The sequence below is a fragment of the Homo sapiens genome, chromosome 3 (genome assembly GCF_000001405.40).
Source record: "Homo sapiens chromosome 3, GRCh38.p14 Primary Assembly".
In the NCBI taxonomy this organism is placed as follows: Eukaryota; Metazoa; Chordata; class Mammalia; order Primates; family Hominidae; genus Homo; species Homo sapiens.
The window spans coordinates 195,962,217-195,988,036 of NC_000003.12; the positions used below are offsets into that span (position 1 = coordinate 195,962,217).

Here is a 25,820-nt window from a genome sequence, read left to right on the forward strand (position 1 = left end):
TCTGGCAGGGGGTGGAGCTCACAGTAATGCTCTGACAGGGGGCGGAGCTCACACAGTAATGCTCTGACGGGGCGGAGCTCACACAGTAATGCTCTGGCAGGGGGCGGAGCTCACACAGTAATGCTCTGGCAGGGGGCGGAGCTCACACAGTAATGCTCTGGCAGGGGGCGGAGCTCACAGTAATGCTCTGGCAGGGGGCGGAGCTCACACAGTAATGCTCTGGCAGGGGGCGGAGCTCACAGTAATGCTCTGGCAGGGGGCCGAGCTCACACAGTAATGCTCACTGGCTGGCTGCTCACCTCCTACTGTGTGGCCTGGTTCCTAACAGGCCATGGACTGGTAACGATCTGTGGCCTGGGGACTGGGGACCCTGATTTAAAGAATCGAGGACACACTCACCTAGCAAACCATCTGCCAAGAAAAAGGAGGAAAAGCACCAACATTAATTTGAACTTAGAAATAAACTACAATAAGGCCAGACATGGTGGTTCACACCTATAATTCCAGCACTTCGGGAGGCCAAGGAGGAACGATCACTTGAGCCCAGCAGTTTGAGACCAGCCTAGGCAACACAGTGAGACCCTGTCCCTACAATTACAAAATAAATGAGCTGGGCGTGGTGGTGCACACCTGTAGCCCCAACTGCTCAGAAGGCTGAGTCGGGAAGATCACCTGAGCTGCCCAGGAGTTTGAGGCTGCAGTGAGCTGAGACTGCACCACTGCACTGATCCTGTCTCAAAAAAAAAAAAAAAAAAGAAACTACAACAAAATATCTGGATTTTGATGTAACAGAATACAAAGATAATTACATTTGATTTTTAGGTCAACAAATATGACTAAAGTCACAACAGTAAAATATTTTAAATGGATTTGGAAATAAAAGAAAGTTTGTTCATTTATATTTTATTTAAGAGCTGTGCCCAGTTTTATCTTGTCACAAGAATGAAGCAAGGGACAAAGTGCCACGCTCCCCGGCCACTGGGTGCCAATCCCCCTTCAATGTACTCCTTCTTCCCCAGAGTGCAGAAGCGTATAAAGACAGTTATGACATTGACACATGCATGAGCTATTATACATAATTACAAAAGCTGATTCTGTCATCACCGCATCTTGTCTCATCAGTAGGAGTGAATGGCTGGGGGGACAGTGGCACAGTCAGCCTCATTCAAAGTTTTGTCGATTATGGGTCTATATTCCACAGTGACCTTGAAAAGAAGTCAGTGGTAAGTTAAGCACAAAAATGTACAAAAAGCCATCTCTTGTGTTCCTTTTGAAAAATTTTAACTATAAAAGTAGATTTACGGCATGTAAACTTTAAGGTATTTGCTGCAGTATTTTCCAATAACAAATTCAAAAATGATCTACATGCGCAACAGGGGACTGTAAATGACGGCAGATCGGTAGAGTGGAACAGAGCAACGAAAATGACACTGTACCAGATTCTCAGTGCTTTGCTTTACAAAAATGCTCCCATCATGAAAAGTGGGAGAACCCTTGTCTATACCAAGACACTTCATGTTTAAACTATCTACTTCCAGTTTTTCTACTTCAAAGTAAATATTTATATAGGTAGAACATCCCTAATCCAAACATCTGAAATTCTCCCAAATCTGAAACTTTCTGAGCACCAGCATGACATTCAAAAGAAATGTGCTATGGAGTCAGATCTTCCCATTAGGGATGCTCAGACAGTAAGTGTAATGCAAATATTCCAAAGTCTGAACAAGCCTGAAATCCAAAACACTTCTGGTCCCAACGATTTCAGAGAAGGAATACTCAAGCCGTGTATTAAATATGCACACACAGGAAAAGGTAGGCACATATACAAAGAAATTTAAACCATAATGGGTCATCTCTGGTTAGTGAGCTCTTATTTCAATCTCTTTGTACTTTCTAAAATGAGTACGTATTTCTTGAAAAATCACTGAAACTGGCTGGGCGTGTTGGTTCATGCCTGTTGGGGAGGCCAAGACAGGTGGATCACTTGAGCTCAGGAGCTCAAGACTAGCCTGGGCAACGTGGCAAAACCCCGTCTCTACAAAACATACAAAAATTAGCCAGGCATGGTGGCATGTGCCCGGGAGGCTGAGGTGGGAGGATCACCTGAGCCGAGGGGAGGTTGAGGCTGCAGTGAGACGAGATCGAGCCACCACATTTCAGCCTGGGCAAAAGAGATGAGACTCTATCTCAGAACAACAAAAACAAAACAAAAAACCTGAACCCGGAAACATTAAAAATAGACTTGTGCTAAGCAAGTGTGACCTCTCTATACTATCAGGAAATGGCCTTCATGATAAATTCTGAAAATGACCTACTGCCTGAATCACAGACACACTAGATGATAGTGAGAGTCCAAAGGTAACTTCCACAGACACAGCTAAGTGATTATACGACTCTCCCTTACAAGTTATGAAAAGCTTAAGGGTAAAAGCTTTCTATCTTCATGATTTCTGAATCTCAATGCCCAGCGGAAATGCCACACGGGTGAACTGTGCTTGTGTGGAACAAGCTGCAACCCCCCTACCACACCCTCGGCTGGCTGTTCCCAAGACGCTGTGCTTGTGTGGAACAAGCTGCAACCCCCTACCACATCCTCGGCTGGCTGTTCCCAGGACGCTGTGCTTGTGTGGAACAAGCTGCAACCCCCCTACCACACCCTCGGCTAGCTGTTCCCAGGACGCTGCTCACCCCAACCCCGCCTCCATTTCTGCCCTTCTCTGCTTGCTCAGTGCCCAGGGGATGCTAAGGGCTGCACCTCATCCCCTCTGCTCCCCTGCAGATGCTTCCAGTTGGCCCAGCCCATGGGAGGAGAGGGGAGGGATCTCTTCTGGGCTCCCTTGGCTCGGGACTGGTTTCTGGTAGTGGCTGTGTCCCCACTACACAGATGCTTTCTCGCTAGGTCCATAATCATCATCTCTTCCCCTGCCACCAGGCCTTGGACACTTGCTCCTGCCCAGTGACGTCCATCTGGCCCACACCACAGAGCAACCCTTCCTTAAGGCTCCTCTGAACCACCTGCAGGCACTGGATTCTGTTTCCAGCCCGAAGCCCAACTGCTGTCAGAGTGCCTTTTTCAGCGGTGCCTCAAATCTGTCGGGAGGTGATTTAAATCTGGCCTGCTCCTCTGCGTTCACCATCAGCAAGGCCAGCCCGCAGACCTGGGCGGGGCCGTGTGGGTGCTGGGCTGTGGTGAGAACGAGCTCCACACTGACCTTCCCAGTGCTGACGTCCACATAGGACAGGGTGTGCTTCCTCCAGTGCTCCTCAAAGGGCTTCTTCTGTTGCCCCTGGATGGGCTTGGAGTGATCGTACTCATCAATCCGCACCTGAGCCCAGAAACACCATCACATTTCTCATTACTCTAACAGAGCAATACAGAAAAAACACAGCAAACGTTAAAATGATCTAAGAGACAGATGCCCTAGAACCCATTCCATTTCCACTTCAGCCCAGGAGGTTGGCACCATCAACACGTTCAGAACGCACAGAGGCCACATGGCTGGCCAGCAATGTGCAGCCAGCAGTGAGTCCAGAGTAATCCATGTCCGCATGTTCCCTTAGACATCCTTTATGTACCTAAGAGTTTATCAAATACTTTGTCTTTTTGCTCCAAGCGCTGGGAGACTACCTCAATCCTTTCTTTCAGCCTGTTTTTATTAAAAACACTTTTTTTTTCTTTTGAGACAGGGTCTCGCTATGTCACCTGGGCTGGAGCGTAATGGTGTGATCACAGCTCGCCAGAGCCTTGACTTCCCGGGCTCAATCAATCATCCTGCCTCAGCCTCCTGAGCAGCTGGTACCTCAGGTGTGTACCACCACGCCTGGCTAATTTTTTAATTTTTGTAGAGACAGGTTTCGCCATGTTGCCCAGGCTGGTCTAGAACTCCGGGGCTCAAGTGATCTGCCTGCCTCAGCCTCCCAAATGCTGGGATTACAGGTGGGAGCCACTGCATCTGGCTTCTATTCTAATTAAAACTCGTTGTCACCAACTAAATTTATGCTCCTGGACAGGCACAGTGGCTCATGCCTGTAATCCTAGCACTTTGGAAGGCCAAGGTGGGTGGTTCACTTGAGGTCGGGAGTTCGAGACCAGCCCGGCCAACATGGTGAAACCCCATCTCCACTGAAAATACAAAATTAGCCAGGCACGGTGGCATGCGCCTGTAACCCCAGCTGCTTGGGAGGCTGAGGCAGGAGAATCACTTGAACCTGGGAGGCAGAGGTTGCAGTGAGCTGAGATCGCAACACTGCACTCTAGCCTGGGGGACAGTCAGACTCCATCTCAAAAAATTAAAAATCATAAATTTATTATTATTCTGTATTCTGGCAAACACGGATTCATATACTTTGCAGGAAAGACTCTTAATATGTATGAGGAGACGAGCAAATTCTGAGCAGTGATCACAGCCATCAGCATATTCTAGTGGAGGGTAAATCAGTAAAATTTCATGGTGAATAAAAATGATTTTCCCATTCACTGTGTTCAGCTGACTGGAAAGGCTGCCACCAGCCGCCCACACATGGCCCTGAACCAGCCTGTGCGCCTGCCTTGTGGAGCCTTTGTCCTTTTGCTGATGTGGTTTATGCTGAACTTGCATTTGCACCCCAAGCTTCCCTTTCCGTCGTTTTTTGCTATCATATGTGAAAAACTCTTACCAGGCAGAATCCAACACGTGTGCTCTGCACAAAAATCAGTTCATCTGAAGAACAAGTGACCACAGGGCAGGCTCCGTAATCAAACCACAGGACAGGCTCTATAATACCTTTTCCAAACCACAGGACAGGTTGGAAACAGTGGCTTACTCGTTATTTAGTAAACTGGCATTTCCTCCACAGGGCAGGTCTGAAACGGTGACTTACTTGTTATTTAATAAACTGGCATTTCCTCCACAGGGCAGGCTTGAAATGGTGGCTTACTCGTTATTTAATAAACTGGCATTTCCTCCACAGGGCAGGCTTGAAACGGTGGCTTACTCGTTATTTAATAAACTGGCATTTATTTCCTGGTCATGCCACGCTGGCTGCACTTCTAACCTTGGCCTTCTAACAGCAAAGCACATTGGCTTGGAGATGCCACTGCTGGCATCAGTGGATGCCGACCCAAAGCAAGGAACAGGTCACAGTGATCCAGAAAATGGCGAGAACCCAGGGATCAAAGTTACCAGAGGGAAAAAGGCATTTTTTGGATATACTTTTGGGGAAACGACATAAAATGCAGAGAAAATGCAGGGGTGGGGCTGAGTCCCACCAGGCGGGAGGAAAAGGCAGGTGCAGGTGGGCGTGGCGAGAAGGCGCACCTTGTAGTCTTCCCCGGCGTGCGCGCCCCGTGACTCCTTCCCCGCCTCTGCTCCATTGACGGTCTGCAGCGCACATAGCATCAGGTTCTGCAGCTCCAGGGTCTCCACCAGGTCCGTGTTCCAGACCATTCCTGGGGACACAAAAAGTTCCATCAGGGGCAGGTGGGACCCAGTCACACGGGCCCTCCGAGCTGTCAGCCTGGGCCTGCTAGTCCATGGAGTCACTGGTTGTGGCTTTACAGCTGGGGGCCAGCACCCATCCAGACAGCAAGCATGGAACTAAGTCAGCACTGACGGGACAGACACCAGCCCACCCTGCAGAAGGCAGGGCCCAACAGTGTGCACAGAGCCCACTGTCTGCTCACCCCGGTCAAACGTCTTCAGATGCTTCAGGTCTCCATAGAGCTTGCTGATTTTCCCACAACCTTCTTGCAACAAGCTTCCCACACGGAACACGGCAGCATGATTTTGCGTTGACTGTGGCACAAAATATTATTTGTAAACTTTTAATTCATAGAAGCAGCCATACCAAGAACTGCTTAACTTTTAGACCTGTTGTTTTGCATTTCATTTTATTTATGTAAATTAAACAGAAAAATTAGGAAATTTAGACTATGAGTTTATTACTCTGAACTTAAAAATGAAGTCTTGACTAAAGCTTCTGAATAAATGTTTCTATTATATACATATCTTAGACCCACACACATCCTTTCCAGCGGGATACAGCCAGGATCCAGGACGCCAAGCAGACTGCCTGTGAGGCACCATGTTCCATACGGCTCCACGGCCAACCAGGCAGCGCTGCCTCCCCACACCCCTGGCGGGACTCCTGATGTGGGGTCTGGTGGTGAACGTGACACGAGCCAGCAGCCCTGTGGTGATACACACAAGGAGGAACTGAGCAGAGCCCTGCTGATGGTGGGGTTGGAACCGAAGGTCTTCAAGGAGAGGGAGGGGCGTGGGTGGCTGGGGCCCTTGGCCCATCTGGCTACTGTCTTCTGCCTATTTTGTAGAAGCTCCTTGTACACTGAGTTCCTTCATAGTTTTACTATCACGAGAAACGTGCTGGGAGTGGACCTGAAGTTTACTTAGGTATGCTGGGAACTGGGCATCAGCTTTTGCTTCCTGTGGGACACACAGGCACCACCTCCGTGATCCCTCCTCCTCCTTGCTTCTCCCTCTAACTGTGCTTTGCTCCACTGACCCTAATTGTCTCTTCCTCTACCAATGCACCTTCATGGTTCAATTTGGACATTTCATCTGATTTTCCTTAGACTCATACATAATCGTAACACTGTAATGCACATCAACCTAACGGTTTTTCAGGAAGAACAAATGAAAAAAATTGCATCTCAGAATCTAGTATTACATTCTTTCATGTCCTTCAGCAGCGACGTTTTCGTATCATCTTTTCGTATTTCTGGTTACATTATTTCAAGGCATTTTAAATTTTTTGTTTGAAATGCGAATGAGATATTTACTGATGTCTGAGCAGATTACTGCTGGCACATTGCAAAGCTACTGATTTTTACATACAAATCTCTTATCCACATACCTTACTACATTCTTGTTTTGTTTCTGTTAGTTTTTCCATTTATTCTCTGGAAATTTTTTGGAAATTATATCTGTAAATAATGGAAACTGTATCTATTCCTTTTCAATATTTACTGCCAAGACCAGCTGGGTCATGGAAACCCTAACCCAGTGGCACTAGAGGAAGTAAAGACACACACACAGAAATATAGAGTGTGGAGTGGGAAATCAGGGGTCTCACAGCCTTCAGAGCCAAAAGCCTCAAACAGAGATTTACCCATGTATTTATTGACAGCAAGCCAGTGATAAGACTTACTGAAAGTATTCCTTACAGGAAATAAAGGGATGGGTCTGGCTAGTTATCTGCAGCAGGAGCATGTCCTTAAGGCACAGAGCGCTCATGCTATTGTTTGTGGTTTAAGAACGTCTTAAGAGGTTTTCCGCTCTGGGTGGGCTAGGTGTTCCTTGCCCTCATTACGGTAAACCCATAACCTTCCAGCGTGGGCGTCCTGGCCATCACGAGCATGTCACATGCTGCAGAGATTTTGTTTATGGCCAGTTTATGGCCACATTTGGGGGCCTGTTTCTAACAATTTACCTCATTTCTTTTTTTGATTGTTACTATTAATAGCCAGAGTCAGCAGAAAAATCCCTTCCCCCAACGAAATGCATTTCCGCAAGCATAGGAAGCTCTGTTTGTTCAGTGCTGACTCCGGCACCTCACGGAGCCTGGGATACAGCAGGCACCAAGACACACCTTGTTTGGTGGGAACACTTCTAGTATTCTCACTTCAAACTATCTCAGATTTGCCATTTCTATATCCTAAGGCATGTTCCCATTCTCTAACGCAAGGGTTCCTTCTTTCCCAGCTGGCCTCCAACCCTACAAAAGCACTGCAGGGCATCACTCAGCCTTCTGTGCCTTAGTCACGCTGTTCTTCTCACCGTTCCACAAAGCCTCCCTCAAGCCCAGCCTCACCTGAAGACCGAAGGGCACGGGCCTCTGAAAATGTCAGCAGGGAACCTGTTCTCTTGTGTCTAACACCAAATGCCTTTCAGAATAGGACTAAAGCAGTGGACTTCTTCCTAGAAAATACGCAGCAATTCTTGCAAATAGTAGACAAGAGATTCTCATTCATGGACAAGAATCCTTGTTATTAGAGGAATTCAGTTTCTTAGACTGACTATATATCAGGTTCTCCACGGCCCCATGGCTAATGGCTGCCATACTGGACGGCAGTCAACATTTCCATCATCACAGACGGTCCTACTGGACCGACTCCCAGCAGCACAGGCCACACAGATCACTGTCCACCGGCCGCCCACTCTCCCTCTCTGCTGAGTATATTTAGGGGCAGCAACAGGTCCAGCTTAAAGACGTTTCCGAGCTGCTGGAAGCCAGGCATGAAGACATGATCAATATCTGGGCCTGAGATGTAAGCACCAGTCTTGTGTTGAACTCCAGGAAACCTCTAAGAGAAAGCTGCCCTGCTGGGGACGGAGCTTCTCCGGTGGTCCTGCGGCTCCCTCTCCTCCACGCTGTGACTCATCCATGACAGCCAGCGACGGTCAGGGCACGGCGGTCATGCCCAAGCACACACAAGTGAACCACAGAAGGCTGTCCTGGATGCTAAGCAGTCACTAATTCTGCCCTGGCCTGCTGACCTTCTATGTGGAGAAGAAGTGCACTTCTGGTCTCTTTCATATTCTTGATACAGTGAGGAGTATGTCCTACTGCTGTTTACCTCCAGATACTGGTGCAGCCTCGTATGTTTATTGCAGCACTAGTCACAATAGCAAAGTCATGGAATCAACCTAAGTGCCCATCAACGGACGACCAGATAAAGAAAATGTGGTACATATATACCATGAAATACTACTTGGCCATAAAAAAAGAATGCAATCATGTCTTCCGCAGCCAGACGGATGGAACGGGAGGTCACTATCCTAAGTGAAGTGACTCAGAAGGTCAAGTGTCACACATTCTCCCTTGGAAGTGGGAGCTGAACAGTGAGTACACATGGACACACGGAGTGGACTAACAGAGACTGGGGGCTCCAAAAAGCGGGAGGGGTGGGGATGAGCAATTACCTGCTGAGTACAACACACACGACTTGGGTGACGGGTACATGAAAAGCCCAGACTCCACCACCTCCCAGTACATCCACACAAAGCTGCACCTGCATCCCCCTAGATCTGTTTTTAAAAAAACAAAACCAGTGCAGGGCCAGGTATGCAGCCAGCCTGCTCACTCCAGAGCGAGTCCAGGCTCTTACCTTCTGCATGCTGAGTCGCAGTTCCGATGTTCTTATGCTTCTTCCATCAGCAAATCTCAATTTGTCAACATTCGTGACAGATTCTTCCCCAGCATTTGGTTTAATTGGAGGGACTTTATCTCCTAAAACAACAACAAAAAGAGCTAGAATTTAACTTTTGAAAACCGTTTTAAAAAAACAAATGGATTTAGTACGACACACAAAAATGTAGCATAGCCGCTCAAGGAGCCTGGAAACTGTGTAAGTCTCCTGAGCTAACACACTGCCAACCCACCCTACATCTGAGGCCATCTGTTGAGTTGGGGCCAATTTTAAAGAACAGACATAAAAGGCAAAACTGTTGGCACACAGTAGATATCCATTAAGTGATCTTAGAGTGAATAAACTAGAAATCATCTCTAAAATTAAAAAATTAAAATGTAGGCCGGGTGCAGTGGCTCACGCCTGTAATCCCAGCACTTTAGGAGGCTGAGGTAGGTGAAGCACTTGAAATCAGGAGTTCAAGAGCAGCCTGGCCAACGTGGCAAAACCTCATTTCTACTAAAAACACAAAAATTATCTGGCATGAGAACTGCTTCAACCCGAAAGATGGAGGTTGCAGTGAGCCGAGATCGCGCCACTGCACTCCAGCCTGGGCAACAGAGCGAGACCCTGTCTTACAAAAAAAAAAAAATTAAATGTATACAGATTTATATACATTAAGTGTATATAAATGTCACTCCACTAACGGGAAAAAATGACACCTTCCAGATGGTGGTCCCAAGGGGCCGGCCGCCCCACTGTCCTTCACATTAGGGGGAGGAAGGTGGCTGCTGTGTGCTTGCAAGTCACCTGCTGATTTGGACTATTGTGTGCTCTCATCTATACTTCAAGATTTGCAATTTTTTTTTTTTTTGAGATGGAATTTTGCTCTGTAGCCCAGGCTGGAGTGCGGTGGCACCATCTCGGCTCACTGCAACCTCCACCTCCTGGTTCAAGCAATCCTCCTGCCTCAGACTCTGGAGTAGATGGGACTACAGGAGTTTGCAACCATACCCGGCTAATTTTTGTATTTTCAGTAGCGATAGGGTTTCACCATGTTGGCCAGGCTGGTCTCGAACTCCTGACCTCAGGTGAGCCACCTGCCTCAGCCTCCCAAAGTGCTGGGATCACATGTGTGAGCTGCTGCACAAGGCCAAGATTTGCAACTCTTGTGTTTCCAAGATGTCTTGAAAAAAGTTTTAAAGGTTTTTTTTTTTTTATAAAATTATATATATTTTTTCTTCAATAAGTAACACATGCAGGAGATAGGAGGTATGAAATGCAGGAGTCCAACAGGCCCTGTCCCGCCTACCGCCTCTCCTCGGGACCAGGCTGTGGGTCTCTTGACGGTCTGCTCAAATGCTTCTAGGCTTGCTGGTGTCTCTTTTCCTTTTGTTTATAACGCTTTAAAAATTGATCATCCATTAAAATTGACTTTTTTCTTTCGGTGGACAGTTCTACAGTTTCTTTTTTCTTTTTTTTTTCTTTTTTTGAGACAGTGTCTCCTCCCTCTGTTGCCCAGGCTGGAGTGCAGTGGTGCGATCTCGGCTCACAGCAACCTCCGCCTTCTAGGCTCCAACAATCCTCCCACCTCAGCCTCCCAAGTAGCTGGGACTACCCAAGTGTGAGCCACCATGCCCAGCTAATTTTTGTATTTTTGGTAGAGACGGGGTTTCACCACCTTGCCCAAGCTGGTCTCGAACTCCTGAGCTCAAGCAATCGGCCTGCCTTGGCCTCCCAAAGTGGTGGGATTATAGGTGTGAGCCACTGCACCCGGCCTCAGTTCTACCGATTTTAACACATGGATAGATGCATGTAACCACTTTGGGAGGCTGAGACAGGAGGATCACTTGAGGTCAGGAGTTCAAGACCACCCTGGGCAACACAGGGAGACCCTGTCCCTAGAATACATTTTTAAAAATTAGCCAGATGTGGTGGCGTGCACCTGATCGTACCACTGCACTCAAGCCTGGGTGACAGAGGGAGACTATGTCTAAAAATACACATATATATATTTTTTGGGGGGGTCGGGGGTTGGGGGAGAAGTAGGGATGCTACAAGCATTTTTTCTTTCCTTTTCATTTTTAAAAATTAAAGCGTAAAGATACAGTAAAATAAACTCATCATTTTTAATGCAGGTTTTTCAAACTTTGACACACACAGAGCTGTGTCTGTAAGCCTCAGCACAATCAGGAAACAGCCTCTGGCAACCACCAATCCCTTTTCTTCCCTAGATGTGCCTTGTCCAGAATGTCCTATCAATAGGACCACAGGCGTGCAGCCTTTTGAGTCCGACTCCACAGCATTCTGCGTGAGATGCTGCATGTGTGAGCGGTTTCTCAGATGTCAAGTATAGGGTATTCTCACAAAATGTTCTTTTCTGCATTTTCAAAGAAAGAGAAGCTCAAAATTTCTACACTGCTCTGAGAGAAGTGGTATCAGACCTCACTGCGACAAAGTGCAGGGCTATGGAGTGAGACAAGCACAACCTGTGGCGTCAGGAACGAGGCACCTGAACCCCGCCTTCGCCGATGATCAGCAACGGCTGGGGATGAGACGCCGGCTCTGCATGTGCTGGCCTCCTGAGCTGTCGTCAGATCCACAGAGACACAGTGTCTGAAGTAGCTACCCTTTTAATACTGCCTGTACCTTTCTAACTACAGATAGAAAAGGGCGCACGTTTATAAGGTACGGCGGTGCTAGTTTTTATTTCACTTGAGTCCATACAAAAAGCAAAAAGCGCCTGTTCTATAAAAACAGCAGAAATGATGCTAAACAGTTAACACCAGAGAAAGCTAACGGGAAGAACATGGGCCTGGGGTCCCACCATCCTTGCCACGCAAACATCCACCAGTGCCTCATCCACCTCACACTGTTCTGAGCACACGAGGCTGCATAACAACCGTGAGGATCTCTGGAGGTGGGAACGATGCTAACTGTCCTGTTCTTCGCGCCCTAAGAACAGGGCACTAAGACCCTGTCTCAAAAAAAAAGAAAAAAGACTAACCTCCTGCGCCTTCTCAAATAGTCTGGGTCCTGAAGAAAACACTTACCAGGCCTGCACGACTCTGCGATGCTCAGGGCACATGCCTGACCAGACAACCAGGTCCAATAGCGAGTTTGCCCCGAGGCGGTTGACACCATGTGCAGAGGCACAGGCGGCCTCCCCACAGGCGTACAGGCCGGGCACAATCTGATCCTGGCCATTCCCGTGCCTCAGGACCTGTGGAAAGGAAGATTTCAGGTGAAATGTCAAGATGCCCATTCCTCCACAAGCCCACCTCCCTCAACAGGGTGTCTGTGCTGCAGGTCAGAGAAAGAGAGGGAAGTAGGTCGGGCATGCAGTGGCTCACGCTTGTAATCCCAGCACTTTGGGAGGCTGAGGCGGGTGGATCACCTGAGTTCAGGGGTTCGAGAACTGTCTGGCTAACATGGTGAAACCCCGTCTCAACTAAAAATACAAAAATTAGCCAGGCATGATGGCGGGTGCCTGTAATCCCAGCTACTCGGGAGGCTGAGGCAGAAGAATCGCTTGAACCTGGGAGGCGGAGGTTGCAGTGAGGCGAGATCGCGCCATTGCACTCCAGCCTAAGTGACAGAGCGAGTCTCCATCTCCAAGAAACAAAGAGACGGAAGTAAAGACCGTATCTAAGAAGGAAGTAAGGACCATAGCTACTCTTCTTCAGAGGGAAACTTCCGAATGTATACCCCAGTTTCCCCTCTGCCCCTGAGCACCTGCTGTTACAAGCAGGTCAGAGGACCTCCAATGTCAGCATCTGCGACTGTCCCCCGTGTCCCATGTTCCCGAGGCCCTCACCACCTGTGCTCCAGCTCAGACCCAGGAGCACGGCAGGTGGAGGAACATCAGCAGGGGAGACTGATGTTCCAGACTCTTCTACCCCCTGTTCACCTCTTCATCTATGCGGGGAAAGTAACAGCTTCCACCCACCTCGCCCAACAAGGAGGCTAAGTGACTGACAAGCTCTGTGTGAACCGCAAACCACTCAAAGGTATGAATTATAAAGATCCCTCGATGTACAAGATCATTAGAAATAGCAATTATAAAGATCCCTTGATGTATAAGCTCATTAGAAATAACACAAGATCATATAGGAAAGTAATTATAAAATGGGAAAAGCTGCAAATGATGTATCTATGACAGTTTACTTAGGAGGAATAAATTATTAAGCCTCCTTCCATCCTCCACTGATAGAAATTTCAAGTGCAATTTAGAAAACAATACAGTACTTTCTTTAAGGAAACATCTGTCTCTTCCTCTAAGATCTAAAGAGACAACTGCAAGATGGGCCCCGTTGTCCCAGCCTTCTTTCCAGCTGTGGGAGAGAAGCCAGCACCATCACCTGCCCCTCGTAGCTGGTGGGAATGCCGTCCATGTTATAATGCACGGTGGGGAGGACAGGGATCGGCTCCTTCGTGACGTCCACACCAGCGAAGATCATGGCTGTCTCTGAAATGCCGGGCAAGGGCATGGCCAGCTGCTCTGGAGGTAGGTGGTGCAGCTGCAGGTAGACGTGATCTTTCTCAGGGCCACAGCCTCTGGTAAGACAGAACACCATCACATAAGGCAGAGAATGGCAACGGCAGCAGACCTGAGAATACGTCATCTTGGAAGCGTGTGAGTTGCAACATGTTTTGATACTGAGGAAAATTTCCCCTCATGTACGGCCACCCTCCCATCAAATCTTTTCTAAGCATCTACTGTGTGCCAGGGACAATCCTAGGTGCTGGGACACAGCTGAGAACCAGAACAAATACTCTGCCCTTACTGAACTCACACTCGTCTCAGGGATCACAGCCTGCAGCGGCTGTCCTTGGTAAAAGCATTAGGCCTCTATGCCAAATAGTCGTCCCTGCGTATCCGTGGCAGGTTGGGTCCAGGACCCCCACGGACACCAAAATCCGTGGATGCTCAAGTCCCTAATATAAAATGGCAGAGTATTTGCATATAACCTATGCACATCCTCCTCCATATTTTAAATCATCCTCATTTCAAGTTTTACATTTAAGTTGTACAGCAACTCCAGGATTACTCATAGTACCTAATACAATGTAAATGCAGGTAAATAGCTGCTACACTGTGTTGCTTAGCGAACAATGACAAGGAAAAAAAAAAGTCTGCGTGTTTGTAAGGATGCAATTTTATTTTCAGTACATAGTTGGTTGAAACCACACATGTGGAACCGATGGATACGGAGGGCCACCATATTCCAAAAAACCATCCGACTTCTTTTTTTTTTAATATAAAAATGTAAAACCTCTAAAGGCCACACCAGATACCAGCAGATATTTAGCAAGTGTTATCACATTAAAGAACAGGGTCAGGCAATGAAAGAGCTGCAAACTGTTCTTCTGAAAGGCAAATGACCCACACACTTTGAAAGCTGTCGAAAAACATCTGTGGGTATCAGACACCACACCCAAGGCTCACACGCCGACTTCAGGTTGGGTGCGTGTCTCTCTCTTCCATACTCCGTCACATACTCACACACACTAAGAGAAACTCTGTTCCACAGATTTGAGAAAGAAACTGGCTAAAATTTTCAAAATGTAGGTCTTTAGGAAAATATCGCAGACTAACAGATGCCTGCCGGCAGCTGAGAGAGGTGGCTGTGCACATGTGCCTGCACACGAAGGTGAGGGCGAGTGGTGCTGAAACTCACAGAAGCAACCCCGGCCCGTGTGCCCGCTCAGACAGTGCTGGTGGTAAACCACACGCACCTTCCTTCGCGGATCTCCAGAGTCATCCACCGAGACACCACATCTCTAGACGCCAGGTCCTTCGCGATGGGGGCGTATCGCTCCATAAACCTTTCGCCTTGACTGTTAATGAGAATGCCTCCCTCTCCACGACATCCTTCCGTAATGAGACAACCAGCACCATATGTGCCTGCAAAAAACCACACATTTATAACCTAACAATTGCTGGGTCTCTATTTCAAATGCATTACTTTTTTTTACAAGATATTTTTTGGGGGAGAGACAAAAAAGATATGCAGAAGGCATTATATGCAAAACTGAACAGAAAGAACAGTTAAGATACAGTAGAAAGTCTGGATAACAAAAAGCACTGACAAGGCTGACAGCTGCAGCAGAGGCTGGGGCAGAGTGGCGTCCCCAGAGAGGAGAAAGGCCGGCCCACAGACCTCTGGCCAATACTCTGATTACAGCCCGGTGTACGTTGGATGCCTCAAATTTTGTTTTAATTTTTGAACATTCTTTTGCGCTACGATACTGTGGTGACTAGTTAAGAATACTAGCTTGGAGAATTCATATCTAAGTTACCCAAACAGTGGCAAGGACAGTAATAATGATTATTTTAGTTCATCTTTACACTGCACTTGCTATGGGCAGTTCTAGCTGCTTTCCACATATTAAACTCATTTAAGTCTTACAACAACTCTGGGTAGTACGACCCCCTTTCTCAGTGACAAGCAAATTAACGCTTGGTAACATCCAGTCATGCAGCTGAGGACAGAGCTCAAACCCAAACCTGGGCAGTCCGGCGGTCTGTGCCCCAAACAGCGGCTCTGTGACTCCTCAGTGCGATGAGAAACAGGGCGTGCCAAGCTCTCGAATTTTAACAAAGGAGATCAAAAACCCTAAACTAAATGTATTTCAAAAGCTACAATTTTTATTAGTATACAAAAAGGGCAATCTTGCTTTCAAAACAAGAATGTGATTCTTGCATCTCACCTGCCTTTTGATTTTCTAAGTTTCCATGCTCTCTTTTCTGTGGTTACTTCTCACATATTGAAGACAAAGCATGAGAAGTGGAGCTCTAAGCAAATTACAGAGGGAATTCAGGGGCTCACTGACATTTTACTGATTAAAAACAGTAATAAAAAATACAACAGGCCGGGTGCAGTGGCTCATGGCTATAATGCCAGCACCCTGAGGGGCCGAGGCAGGAGGATCGCCTAAGCCCTGGCGTTTGAGACCAGCCTGGGCTTAAAATGGTGACACCCTGTCTCTACCAAAAACAAAAAAACCCTCAAAAATTAGCTGGGCATGCTAACACATGCCTGTAGTCCCAGCTATTTGGGAGGCTGAGGTGGAAGGATCGTTTGAGCCTGGGAGACAAAGGCTGCAGTGAGTCGAGATTGCTCCACTGCACTCCAGCCTGGGCAACAGAGCAAGACCCCATCTCTAAACAAATTAAAAAAAAAAACCTACAACAAATCCATTTCTTATTTTCATCCCTTCCAGGGATCAGAAAGCTGACACTGACAGAGAAAGAAAAGACACAGGTCTGGTTCTTTGGCACCACTTCAGGGGTCTCCATCGTCCACAGGTCAGAAAAGCAACCCAGAAAAGTCCAGGACGAGTCACCTCAAACAAGAGGCAGACGTGTGTGTGTCTGTCTCTGACTCATTTTGAAGAACCTCCTCCAAACTCAAGACTTCAACTGTCATTTCTGAGTTAATGTCTCCAAATTGCACATTCGTAACCTCAACCGTCAGACGTCCCCAAGACAAGCTCATCTTCCCCACGACAAGCTCCCTCAGTGGTCACGGGGGCTGAGCCCAGCGCCCAACGTCACATGGGGTTCTCTCATGGCTGTGTCTTAACTTTACATCCCATTGTCACGGAAGCTCTGTGTTGTCCTACAAAGCTGAAATCTGCCTGTGCTGCTTCTTGGTTCCACAGCATTCACCCAGCTCTCAGAATGCTCACTCAGTAAACCCCGATGGAGACCCTACCATGTGCTGGGCGTGGAGCACCCCAGTTAATGAGAAGACCTGCCTGCCCGAATTGCTGACGACCTCACTGCAAAGAGGGACACTGAACAATTCCTGCTTTACTTTTTTTTTTTTTTTTTTTTCAGACGAAGTCTTACTCTGTTGCCCAGGCTGGAGCGCAGTGGTGCGATCTCGGCTCACTGCAACCTCTGCCTCCCAGGTTCAAGCATTCCTCCCGCCTCAGCCTCCCAAGTAGCTGGGATCACAGGTGCATGCCACCATGCCCAGCTGATTTTTTTATGTTTAGTAGAGATGAGGTTTCACCATGTTGCGCAGGCTGGTCTTGAACTCCTGACCTCAGGTGATCCACCTGCCTTGGCCTCCCAAAGTGCTGGGATTACAGGCGTGAGCCACCATGCCCGGCCTCAATCCCTGCTTTACTGCTGGCATAAGTATCACCAAGGCAGGGTTTAGGGCTCTTGAGAAATGCATAAGATGGTGGCCCAAACTGCCTTAGAGGAAGGGGAGTGTGGGAAAAGTCTCCTTAAGGAAATGACATTGAAGTTAGGACCTGAGAGCTAAGGAAGCTGATCTTCAAAACCATGTTATTACATAAAACTATGGAAGAGCAATGAGTAGGCACCACACGCTTACAAGACACACGAGCCGAACGCTTTCCGGGCAAGGCGTCCTGCCCTACCTGTGGGGTGGAACTGAACAAACTCGAGGTCCTGGCAAGGAAGGCCTGCCCTGGTGATCATGGCCGTGCCGTCGCTGGTGCTGGTGTGGGCAGACGTGCAGCTCAAGTAGTTGCGCCAGTAGCCTATGGAAACAACAGAGAGCAGTGACTGCACACAGTGGCCCACGTCCGGACCTCCTGTCTAATGAGATCACAGAACGGACAGGGCAGCCCCCGGGCACCATCTTCTCAGTGCTGTGTGCACACAACCCCCAACTCACGCACACCCCACACACATCACTGGGGGCCATGCCAGTGGTGCTGCTACCCTGCGCAGGTAGGATAGAAGCCTGGGATCAGAGAAGAGACTTCCATTTATATTTTATTTATTTATTTTGAGATAGGGTCTAACTCTTGTCGCCCAGGCTGGAGTACGGTGGCACAATCTCGGCTCACGGCAACCTCAGGCTCCCAAGTTCAAGTGATTCTTCTGCCTCAGCCTCCCAAGTACCTGGGATTACAGGTGTGCACCACCACATCCAATTGATTTTTGTATTTTTAGTAGAGACTGGGTTTCGCCATGTTGGCCACGCTGGTCTCGAACTCCTGACCTCAGGTGATCCACCCACTTCGGCCTCCCAAAGTGCTGGGATTACAGGCATGAGCCACTATGCGTCTGGCCCTGTTTGTATTTTAGATTTGTGCTGTTCAAAAGGTTTCCCCAGTAAGCATATACTACTTTTATAATGAAAATTTTAAAATTTTTATGGATTTTGTTTTTTTCCCCCAGATTTACTGAGGTATGATTGATGAATTAAACAAAAAACAATACTGTATATATTTAAGGTGTACAACGTGATGATTTATTTTGTGAACTGATGACACAATCAACTTAATACACATCTATCACCTCATACAATTATCCTTTTTTTTTGGAGATACAGACACCTAAGGTCTACTCTCTTCGCAAATTTCAAGTTATATTAATGATAGCCACCGTACTGTATGATTTTAACTGTAGCCACCATGCTGTATAATGTTAACTCTGGCCACCATGCTCTATAACATTAACTCTAGCCACCATGCTGTTTATCAGACCTTCAGAACTTCACCTTGTGACGGGAAGTTACACCTTTAATCAGCATCGCCACAGTCTGCATTCCCCCAGCCCCTGGCAACCACTGTCCTACTCTGTTTCTGTGAGTTGTGACAGTTTTAGATCCACATATGAGTGACATGCAGTATCTGTCTTTCTGTGCCTGGGTCGTTTCACTTAACATAATGACTTTGGGTTCATCCACGTTGTCACACATGACAGGATTTCCTTCGTTTTCATAGCTGAATAATATTCAGTTGTGTACACACACCACATTGTCATTAAACACCAAAAATTTTTAGGTTGTTTCCATATCTCGGGTATTGTGAATAACGCTGCAATGAACATGGGGGTCCAGGTGTCTCTTTGAGCTTCTGATTTCATGCCCTTTGGATATACACCCAGAAATGAGGTTGCTGGAGCACATGGTAGTCCTGTGACTTTTGAGGAACCTCCAGAGTTTTCCACAATAGTTGTACTAATTTACATTCCCACCAACAGCACACAGGGTTCCCTTTTCTCCACATCCTCACCAACACTATCTTTTGTCCTCTTGGTAACAGCCACTCTAACTGGAGCGAGATGAGATGATACTCATTGGGGTTTTAATTTGCATTTCTCTGGTGCTTGGTGATGTTGAGCATTTTTTCATACATCAACTGGCCATTTGTATGTCTTCTCTGGAAAAATATCTATTCAAGTCCTTTGCCCATTTTTAGTAGGGTTGTTTTTTAGTAGGGTTTAGTAGGTTGGTTTTAGTAGGGCTTTTTTTTATTTTTTATTTTTTTTGCTATTTTAGATACTAAGATATCATTAGATATATGGTTTGGAAAATATTTTTTTCCCAACCTGTAGTTTTGCTGATTTTTTTTCTTGGCTGTACTGACACTTCTTAACTTTTAAAGTGGCTAAAGTAACTGCCACTGTATAAAATTAAAGTTTTTTATTTTCATTATGTGGAGAAGACAGACTTATCTATCCCAGGAATCAGTATAAACATAGAACCCACTAAAACAAGAGGGATTTTGCCAGAAAACCCCATGTGACTCTTCGGGCCACAGTTTCCTCATCTAAAATCGGGAGAGGTACGCTGTGAACCTGACGGCAGCCACTACCGACTACTGAGGGCCATGCTTTCTCACCCCCTGAGGCAGGTGCTGCTGTCCTCACCCTTTACAGGTGAGGAACCACGGCTGGGAAAGGCCATCACCCTCACACGGTTATATCAAGGCCTGTGTCTGAACTGCTATTCTACAATGCCTCTATTTTCCTTAAAATAAAGACACTCTAAATGGAATTTATTCATTTTTACAAAGGAAATAAAGTAGAAATTAGATTCCTACCCTGTGGCAACAATAGTATTCTTTGCTCTTATGCGATGGATGGACCCGTCCTGTATGCACAGTGCGAAGACACCACGGCACTCCCCATTCTCCATCAGGAGATCCAAGGCAAAATACTCCACAAAACAGCTGGTATCATATCGCAGAGACTAAAAGAAAGAAAAAAAAAGGGCAAGAAGTGTTAAGCCAACCTTTAAGGTTTTAAGGTGGTATCTGCTCATGTGAATAGGTGAAAGAACTTGATCCAAATGGACCAGGTAAATCCAAGGAGATCAGCAAGAGTGTCAATGACACTGTCAGAGCCCGAGAGGCATTCCACGCCCAGCAGTACCAACAAGGCAGGTGTGCTAGAGAACGCAGCAGCAACAGCTCCTATGTTGGTGACACATTTCCTACTTCTACACAACCCGAAGAGGCACTCCACACTGTCCAGTGGCAGCATGCAGCTCCACTCGGAGTCTGGTGCCAGAGTGAGGTCCGCAGACCATGGGGTCACAGCCCAGATGGGAGCTACTGGCAACACATAACCACTTAATTAATTAAAATAAGTCAAAACATTCAGCTCTTCAGCTACACCTGCCACATTAGCAACAGCCCCATGTGGCTGGCAGCTACCAAAGCGGACGGTCGCAGACAAGCAGATTCCGGCACCGCAGAAAGGGAGGCGCCAGACAGCGCTGCCCGCCTGGACCTGCCGTTCCCTCAGCCAGCGCAAGTTGCTCTCATGAGCCTGGGCCAGCTCCCCACATGACAGCTCCTGCTCCGGACGGAGCCGCCGTCTCCTCCCACCACACACTTGTCGATGCACTCAGCCACAGAGAAGTCACTGGTGTTCTAACAACCTGCACATTACTGATCCGTCCCCACGCATCAGAAAACAACAAAGCTCAGAACATGGATTACTCTGAATCAATACTGTTCAGGATATTATTTGGTCATGCCAAAGTTGACCCTGATTACCCAGTCACTATTGTCACCTCAAGTCTTTGTCCAGTGATAACAGTTAATATTAAAACAATCCATGGCCGGGTGTGGTAGCTCACGCCTGTAATCCCAGCACTTTGGGAGGCCGAGGTGGGTGGACTGCCTGAGCTCAGGAGTTCGGGAGCAGCCTGGGCAACATGGGAAACCCTGTCTCTACTAAAATACAAAAAATCAGCAAGGCGTGGCGGCGTGCACCTGTAGTCCCAGCTACTCTGGAGGCTGAGGCAGGAGAATCGCTTGAACCCGGGAGGCAGAGGTTGCAGTGAGCAGAGATCGCGCCACTGCACTCCAGCCTGGGTGAGAGTGAGACTCCGTCTCAAAAACAAAGCAAAACAAAACAAACAAACCAAACCAATCCATTCAGGAACTCAGAGGTGGTAAAAGAGCCTTAAAATACTTCTTCTTTGTCTTTTTTTGAGACAGGTCTCCTGTTGCTCAGGCTGGAGTGCAGTGGTATGAACATGGCTCACTGTCTCAAGTGATCCTCCTGCCTCAGCCTCCTGAGTAACTGGGATTACAAGCATGTACCACCATGCTCAGCTACTTTTTAAACTTTCTGTAGAGACAGGGTCTCGCTATGTTCTCCAGACTGGTCTCAAGTGATCCTCCTGCCTTGGCCTCCTAAAGTGCTGGGATTACAGACGTGGGCCACTGTGCCTGGCCTGCTTGCTCTGTTCTTACATGCTGAGTGTCACATATCCCAAGTGAAAACCTGGTATATAAGATTATCAATTCAACTTCCCAACATAGAGGCAACAACTCACACATTGCCTTAGGGGCAGCTTCTCAAGGCACACGCCTGCTCCTGTCACATCCACAGTCGCTGCATGTGCCCCACACCGCTGTTCTCTGTTGCTTTTTACGCAATCTCTGGCTGACTCACTGGGCACGCTAACCCATTCCCCGCTGTCACCACAAGCCCCAGCACTACGTGTCCTGTCTCAGGTGGACGGGGGGCGGCCTTACCCTCCCGTATAAGGTGTGCAATATTGAGTGGCCGGTCCGATCAGCCACACAGCAGCACCCATGGGCCTGCCCGCCCTTTCCAAACTTGAGGCTGTGTCCGCCAAATGCACGCTGATAAATCTTCCCATCTTCAGTTCTGCTAAACGGCATGCCATAATTTTCTACCTGTGAAAGATAAAAACAAACAAAAGCCTTATTAACCTAAAGGAGTCAAGATATTCACAGCTAATCTACACTAAACAACTTTAATACAAATCTGCAAACCCAAATTAACCTATTTTATGAAAATGTCAACACTTCATCAAAGAGAAGTTTTTCTTATTACATGTAATACATAGTTCATGACGGACAAAGACTTCTCTGTGAGCTTTGCTAATCACCATTCTTTCGGCTGCCACATCTGCCTCAACTGCTTACATTTTTTCCAGGACTCTTGTACTAGAAACAGACCACCAGAGCACCCAGAGCCTCCCGCCCATCACCGCGACCATGGCAGTGGGGGCCTGCTCCGTCACGTAGTGGATGGCATCCTGGTCCCCCAGCCAGTCGGAGCCCTTCACGGTGTCATAGAAATGCCACCTCCAGTTGTCCTCCTCCATGTTCCCCAGAGCAGCATTGATTCCAACCTGGAAACACCAACCACTCCTTACAAGCCACAAACAGGAACCCCAGCTTTGTCTTCCAGGCCCAAATCCACCCGCTGGGGGATTCAGAGAAAGCCAACTACTCACGCGGTGACTCCCAGTGAGGGCTGACCTCAGCAGAGGAGCAGCCAGGCCTGACAGATTCCAGATCACAACCCCTCCCAGACTCACCCAGTGATTCCATCCCTTAGCCTCAGTCTCCTCATCTGTGTGGTGGAGACAGAGGGAACTCCAGGAAGGGCTGACTGGAGCAGTGAGTGAAAGGCTACCTGTAATATGCTTATTACCTAACGTATCTGGCACAGAAAAGGTACTCCATGAATCTCTCCGCATAATTTTATTAACAAATCTTCCCAACGGCATTTACGGGCATGTGTTAAAGATCAGAAGTGCTTCCTGCCAAGTAATAAACTCCATACTCAGAGTCGCACTCCCCTGTACCCCTACTTCCTTTGGCTGTGTGTGCCCACCACCGTCTTACCCCTCAGAGAGTCCCAGAAGACAGCAGCACAGGGACAAATGAAACCCTTGCCCTTTTCTTCCCCAACCTAAATTCTGAATCCTCCTCTTTAGATGATCTCCTTTTCTTAAGGTGTTGGGGTGGCAGGGGTGGGTGGGGAGGGTAGATGGTCAGAGAAAACCCAAGTGTGACTGGAGTCTGAATTAAGAGTGACAACAAGGCTCCCGCCCTTCAAAGTCCCCAGGGAAGAGGCTCCAGGGAGAGACCCCTGAATGGGTGAGCTGAGTAAGGCACAGCAAGAGGCCAAGTGGCTGGAGCACGGGGAGGAGGCAGGAGGCTGCCCAGGTAGAAAGTGCGAGGCTGCGCGGGACCTGCACGGAGTGGGAGCACAGTGGGGCACCTTTCTCTTACCTGCGCTGCAACAGTGTGTGACCTGGTAGGAAACAGCTTGGTAACACATGCTGTATCAAACTCTGCCTCGGAAAGGCCAAATGCAGCTCGCAAAGCCGGCCCCTCCAGCGCCTACCACCACTGCATCAAATTCATGATCCACTACTGGATACTGAGCAGAAATCTGGAAAAGAAAAATTCACCTGTCAATCACAGGTTCCACTATGCCAAACATGAAGACTCTTGTGCCAGTGAAAGAGCTTGACAAAGATAAAAGGAGCAACTGCTGGGCACACAGGGCCTCCATCCTGTCCTGGGGCTGAGCCCTGAACAGTGCGGGGAGAAGTAGGCACATTCGCACCTGGAGAAGGGACTGATAATCAGATTCTATGAATGGTAGAGGGTCTATTCCATGGGATCAGACTGAGGACCACAACTCTACTTCAGGGCCGTGCCTATGCTTATGCCTGAGAAGGTGCCAAGGAGCATTCAGTCGCTATTGTGAGCTTATGAGAAAAGAACTTCTCAGCACGTTTCAGTTTTCCAACAGAGAGAGAACAGGCACACTCAATACCAAGGAACCCACACCGGAAGGGCCCCACGGTCCTCTTTTCAGTAGGATTTTATCATCTATCACAGCAGATACTGTTCATTTTAATTTATTGCTTTACTTGACCTAAATTTAAATCTAATTTATAGATACATAACAGATACAAGTAAAAATGTTAACATCTATGTTTATATTTGTACTTGCAATTAAGTATTATTACACTGAAAATAATTTCAGCATGCATTGGATACCTATGAGAAATTTTTCCCTTATGTCTATGACTCATATGAAAACAAACTGGTATAGATCCTTACCCCCAAGCCAAAAAAATCATTTATAATGGAACAAAAAGCATGAACTTACGGAATCTGAAACTTTAGCAGATGCCCTCTCGTTCCTTCAACAGTGAAGTGAACACCTCGGGTTCCTGTTTGCAACACTGTTGGCCACTGGAGACACAGAAGACACAGATCCAGAGGGTTAGTGTCCTGAAGGAACAAATGCTGTGGGGGATAGTAATTCAAACTTCCCCTTGCAAACTGTTCACCTTCTTATGTACCCAGGTGCTCCTGTGCATCCAGAGAGCTCAGCTGGGACCCTCTACTTAACCCTGAAGGGCAGCCCAAGGGGCAAGGAAGGACTGAGCCCCCAGGTCCTCCTTTCCACCCTGGCTTGGCACTCTAGAAAACCAGGATGAAGCTTGTTTCCAAAAAGGATACTCACTGACTCAGATACGAGATGAAAAAGACGCACTTCCTCTGGGAAGTCTTCACTTATGCTACTTAGTGGAGGAGGGGAAAGACATCCAGATCGTATTACTGTATGTGGTATTTTGCAAATAATGAAGCATTTTAACCGGCTCCATCAGAGCCCTTTCCACATTACAGTTCCAATCGTCCAGGAGGGCTTGCGGTCAGTTCAAAAGGCACTGGACACCTGAATCAGGAGATCTGTATCCTGCAACAGTAAAGGCTGACAGCCCAGAGGGAAGAGGTGTCATCCCTTCATCACACAGGAGGATGTCGGATGCACACTCTCCCCTGCCTGGTTGCTGCTGGCTTTTTCCTGGCCAACGTCTACAACTTGACATATCTCGCTGCTTAAATTTTCCATCTTAGAAACCTTTACTCAAGAAAACTGGTTTTAGTGTTTAGTTTTTAGTGGCTCTGTGTGAGAGAGGTCACACTGTCCCATATGCTAAGGTTGGCCAGCCATTTAGGGGATACGTTTTCCATTCTGCTGGCGGCATTTTAGAAGACCACTGAATAGTCTCAGAAATATCATCAAGAATAGTTTTAGGGGCTGGGCGCGGTGGCTCATGCCTGTAATCCCAGCATTTTGGGAGGCCAAGGTGGGCAGATCACCTGAAGTCAGGAGTTCGAGACCAGTCTGGCCAACATGGCAAAACCCCCTCTCTACTAAAAATTAGCTGGTCGTGGTGGCGGGCACCTGTAATCCCAGCTACTTGGGAAGCTGAGGCAGGAGAATCGCTTGAACCCAGGAGGCAGAGGTTGCAGTGAGCCGAGACTGTGCCACTGTACTCCGGCCTGGGCGACAGAGCGAGACAATGTCTCCAAAAAACAAAAGAAAAAAAAAAGCTTTAGGAAATTATGCACTCAGCAATCAGAAGAGGGGATGTGAGGGATGTCTTCAAGTATTTAGAAATACTTGCAATTCACAAATTACTTATTATGTGGGATAAAAAATTATTCTTCATTTCTCCAATTTCTAGTCTGTTTTTATTGACATAAGCTAATTTAGTTTTTTCTTTTTTCAGAAAATGAGAAAGAACGAATATTCTTCTACCTTAGTATAATTTTTTACATGGTAAAATCATATTTTAAGAAAGAAGTCTTTGAAATAATTTTAATAAAAACGTTC

At 47.4% G+C, this 25,820-nt stretch overlaps 1 pseudogene across 1 annotated transcript in view, besides 3 other annotated features; it reads right to left on the reverse strand.

Moving 5' to 3' along the window:
• Positions 1 to 25,820, reverse strand: part of SDHAP1 (SDHA pseudogene 1) — a 30,359-nt pseudogene that overhangs the window by 2,296 nt on the left and 2,243 nt on the right. Inside the window, exons 2-16 of the transcript NR_003264.2 lie at positions 24,303 to 24,388; positions 23,411 to 23,573; positions 22,276 to 22,521; positions 21,896 to 22,060; positions 19,946 to 20,094; positions 17,528 to 17,650; positions 14,867 to 15,035; positions 13,489 to 13,684; positions 12,181 to 12,350; positions 9,107 to 9,228; positions 6,003 to 6,169; positions 5,663 to 5,774; positions 5,298 to 5,428; positions 3,213 to 3,326; positions 1,084 to 1,205 (exon numbers count right to left, since the gene is read on the reverse strand). The product of NR_003264.2 is annotated as an SDHA pseudogene 1 (transcript). The remainder of the gene's footprint in view (positions 1 to 1,083; positions 1,206 to 3,212; positions 3,327 to 5,297; positions 5,429 to 5,662; positions 5,775 to 6,002; positions 6,170 to 9,106; positions 9,229 to 12,180; positions 12,351 to 13,488; positions 13,685 to 14,866; positions 15,036 to 17,527; positions 17,651 to 19,945; positions 20,095 to 21,895; positions 22,061 to 22,275; positions 22,522 to 23,410; positions 23,574 to 24,302; positions 24,389 to 25,820) is intronic.
• Positions 5,015 to 5,515: an enhancer, noted in NCBI's record as "H3K4me1 hESC enhancer chr3:195694102-195694602 (GRCh37/hg19 assembly coordinates)". NCBI's record gives its function as "activates a minimal SCP1, AML or CMV promoter by ChIP-STARR-seq in primed H9 embryonic stem cells {active_cell/tissue: H9 hESC(primed)}" and the evidence as "EXISTENCE:reporter gene assay evidence [ECO:0000049][PMID:30033119]".
• Positions 5,516 to 6,016: an enhancer, noted in NCBI's record as "H3K4me1 hESC enhancer chr3:195694603-195695103 (GRCh37/hg19 assembly coordinates)". NCBI's record gives its function as "activates a minimal SCP1, AML or CMV promoter by ChIP-STARR-seq in naive H9 embryonic stem cells {active_cell/tissue: H9 hESC(naive)}" and the evidence as "EXISTENCE:reporter gene assay evidence [ECO:0000049][PMID:30033119]".
• Positions 9,605 to 9,837: a silencer, noted in NCBI's record as "fragment chr3:195698692-195698924 (GRCh37/hg19 assembly coordinates)". NCBI's record gives its function as "represses an EF-1alpha promoter that drives an FKBP-Casp9 reporter gene in an ReSE screen in HepG2 liver carcinoma cells {active_cell/tissue: HepG2}" and the evidence as "EXISTENCE:reporter gene assay evidence [ECO:0000049][PMID:32094911]".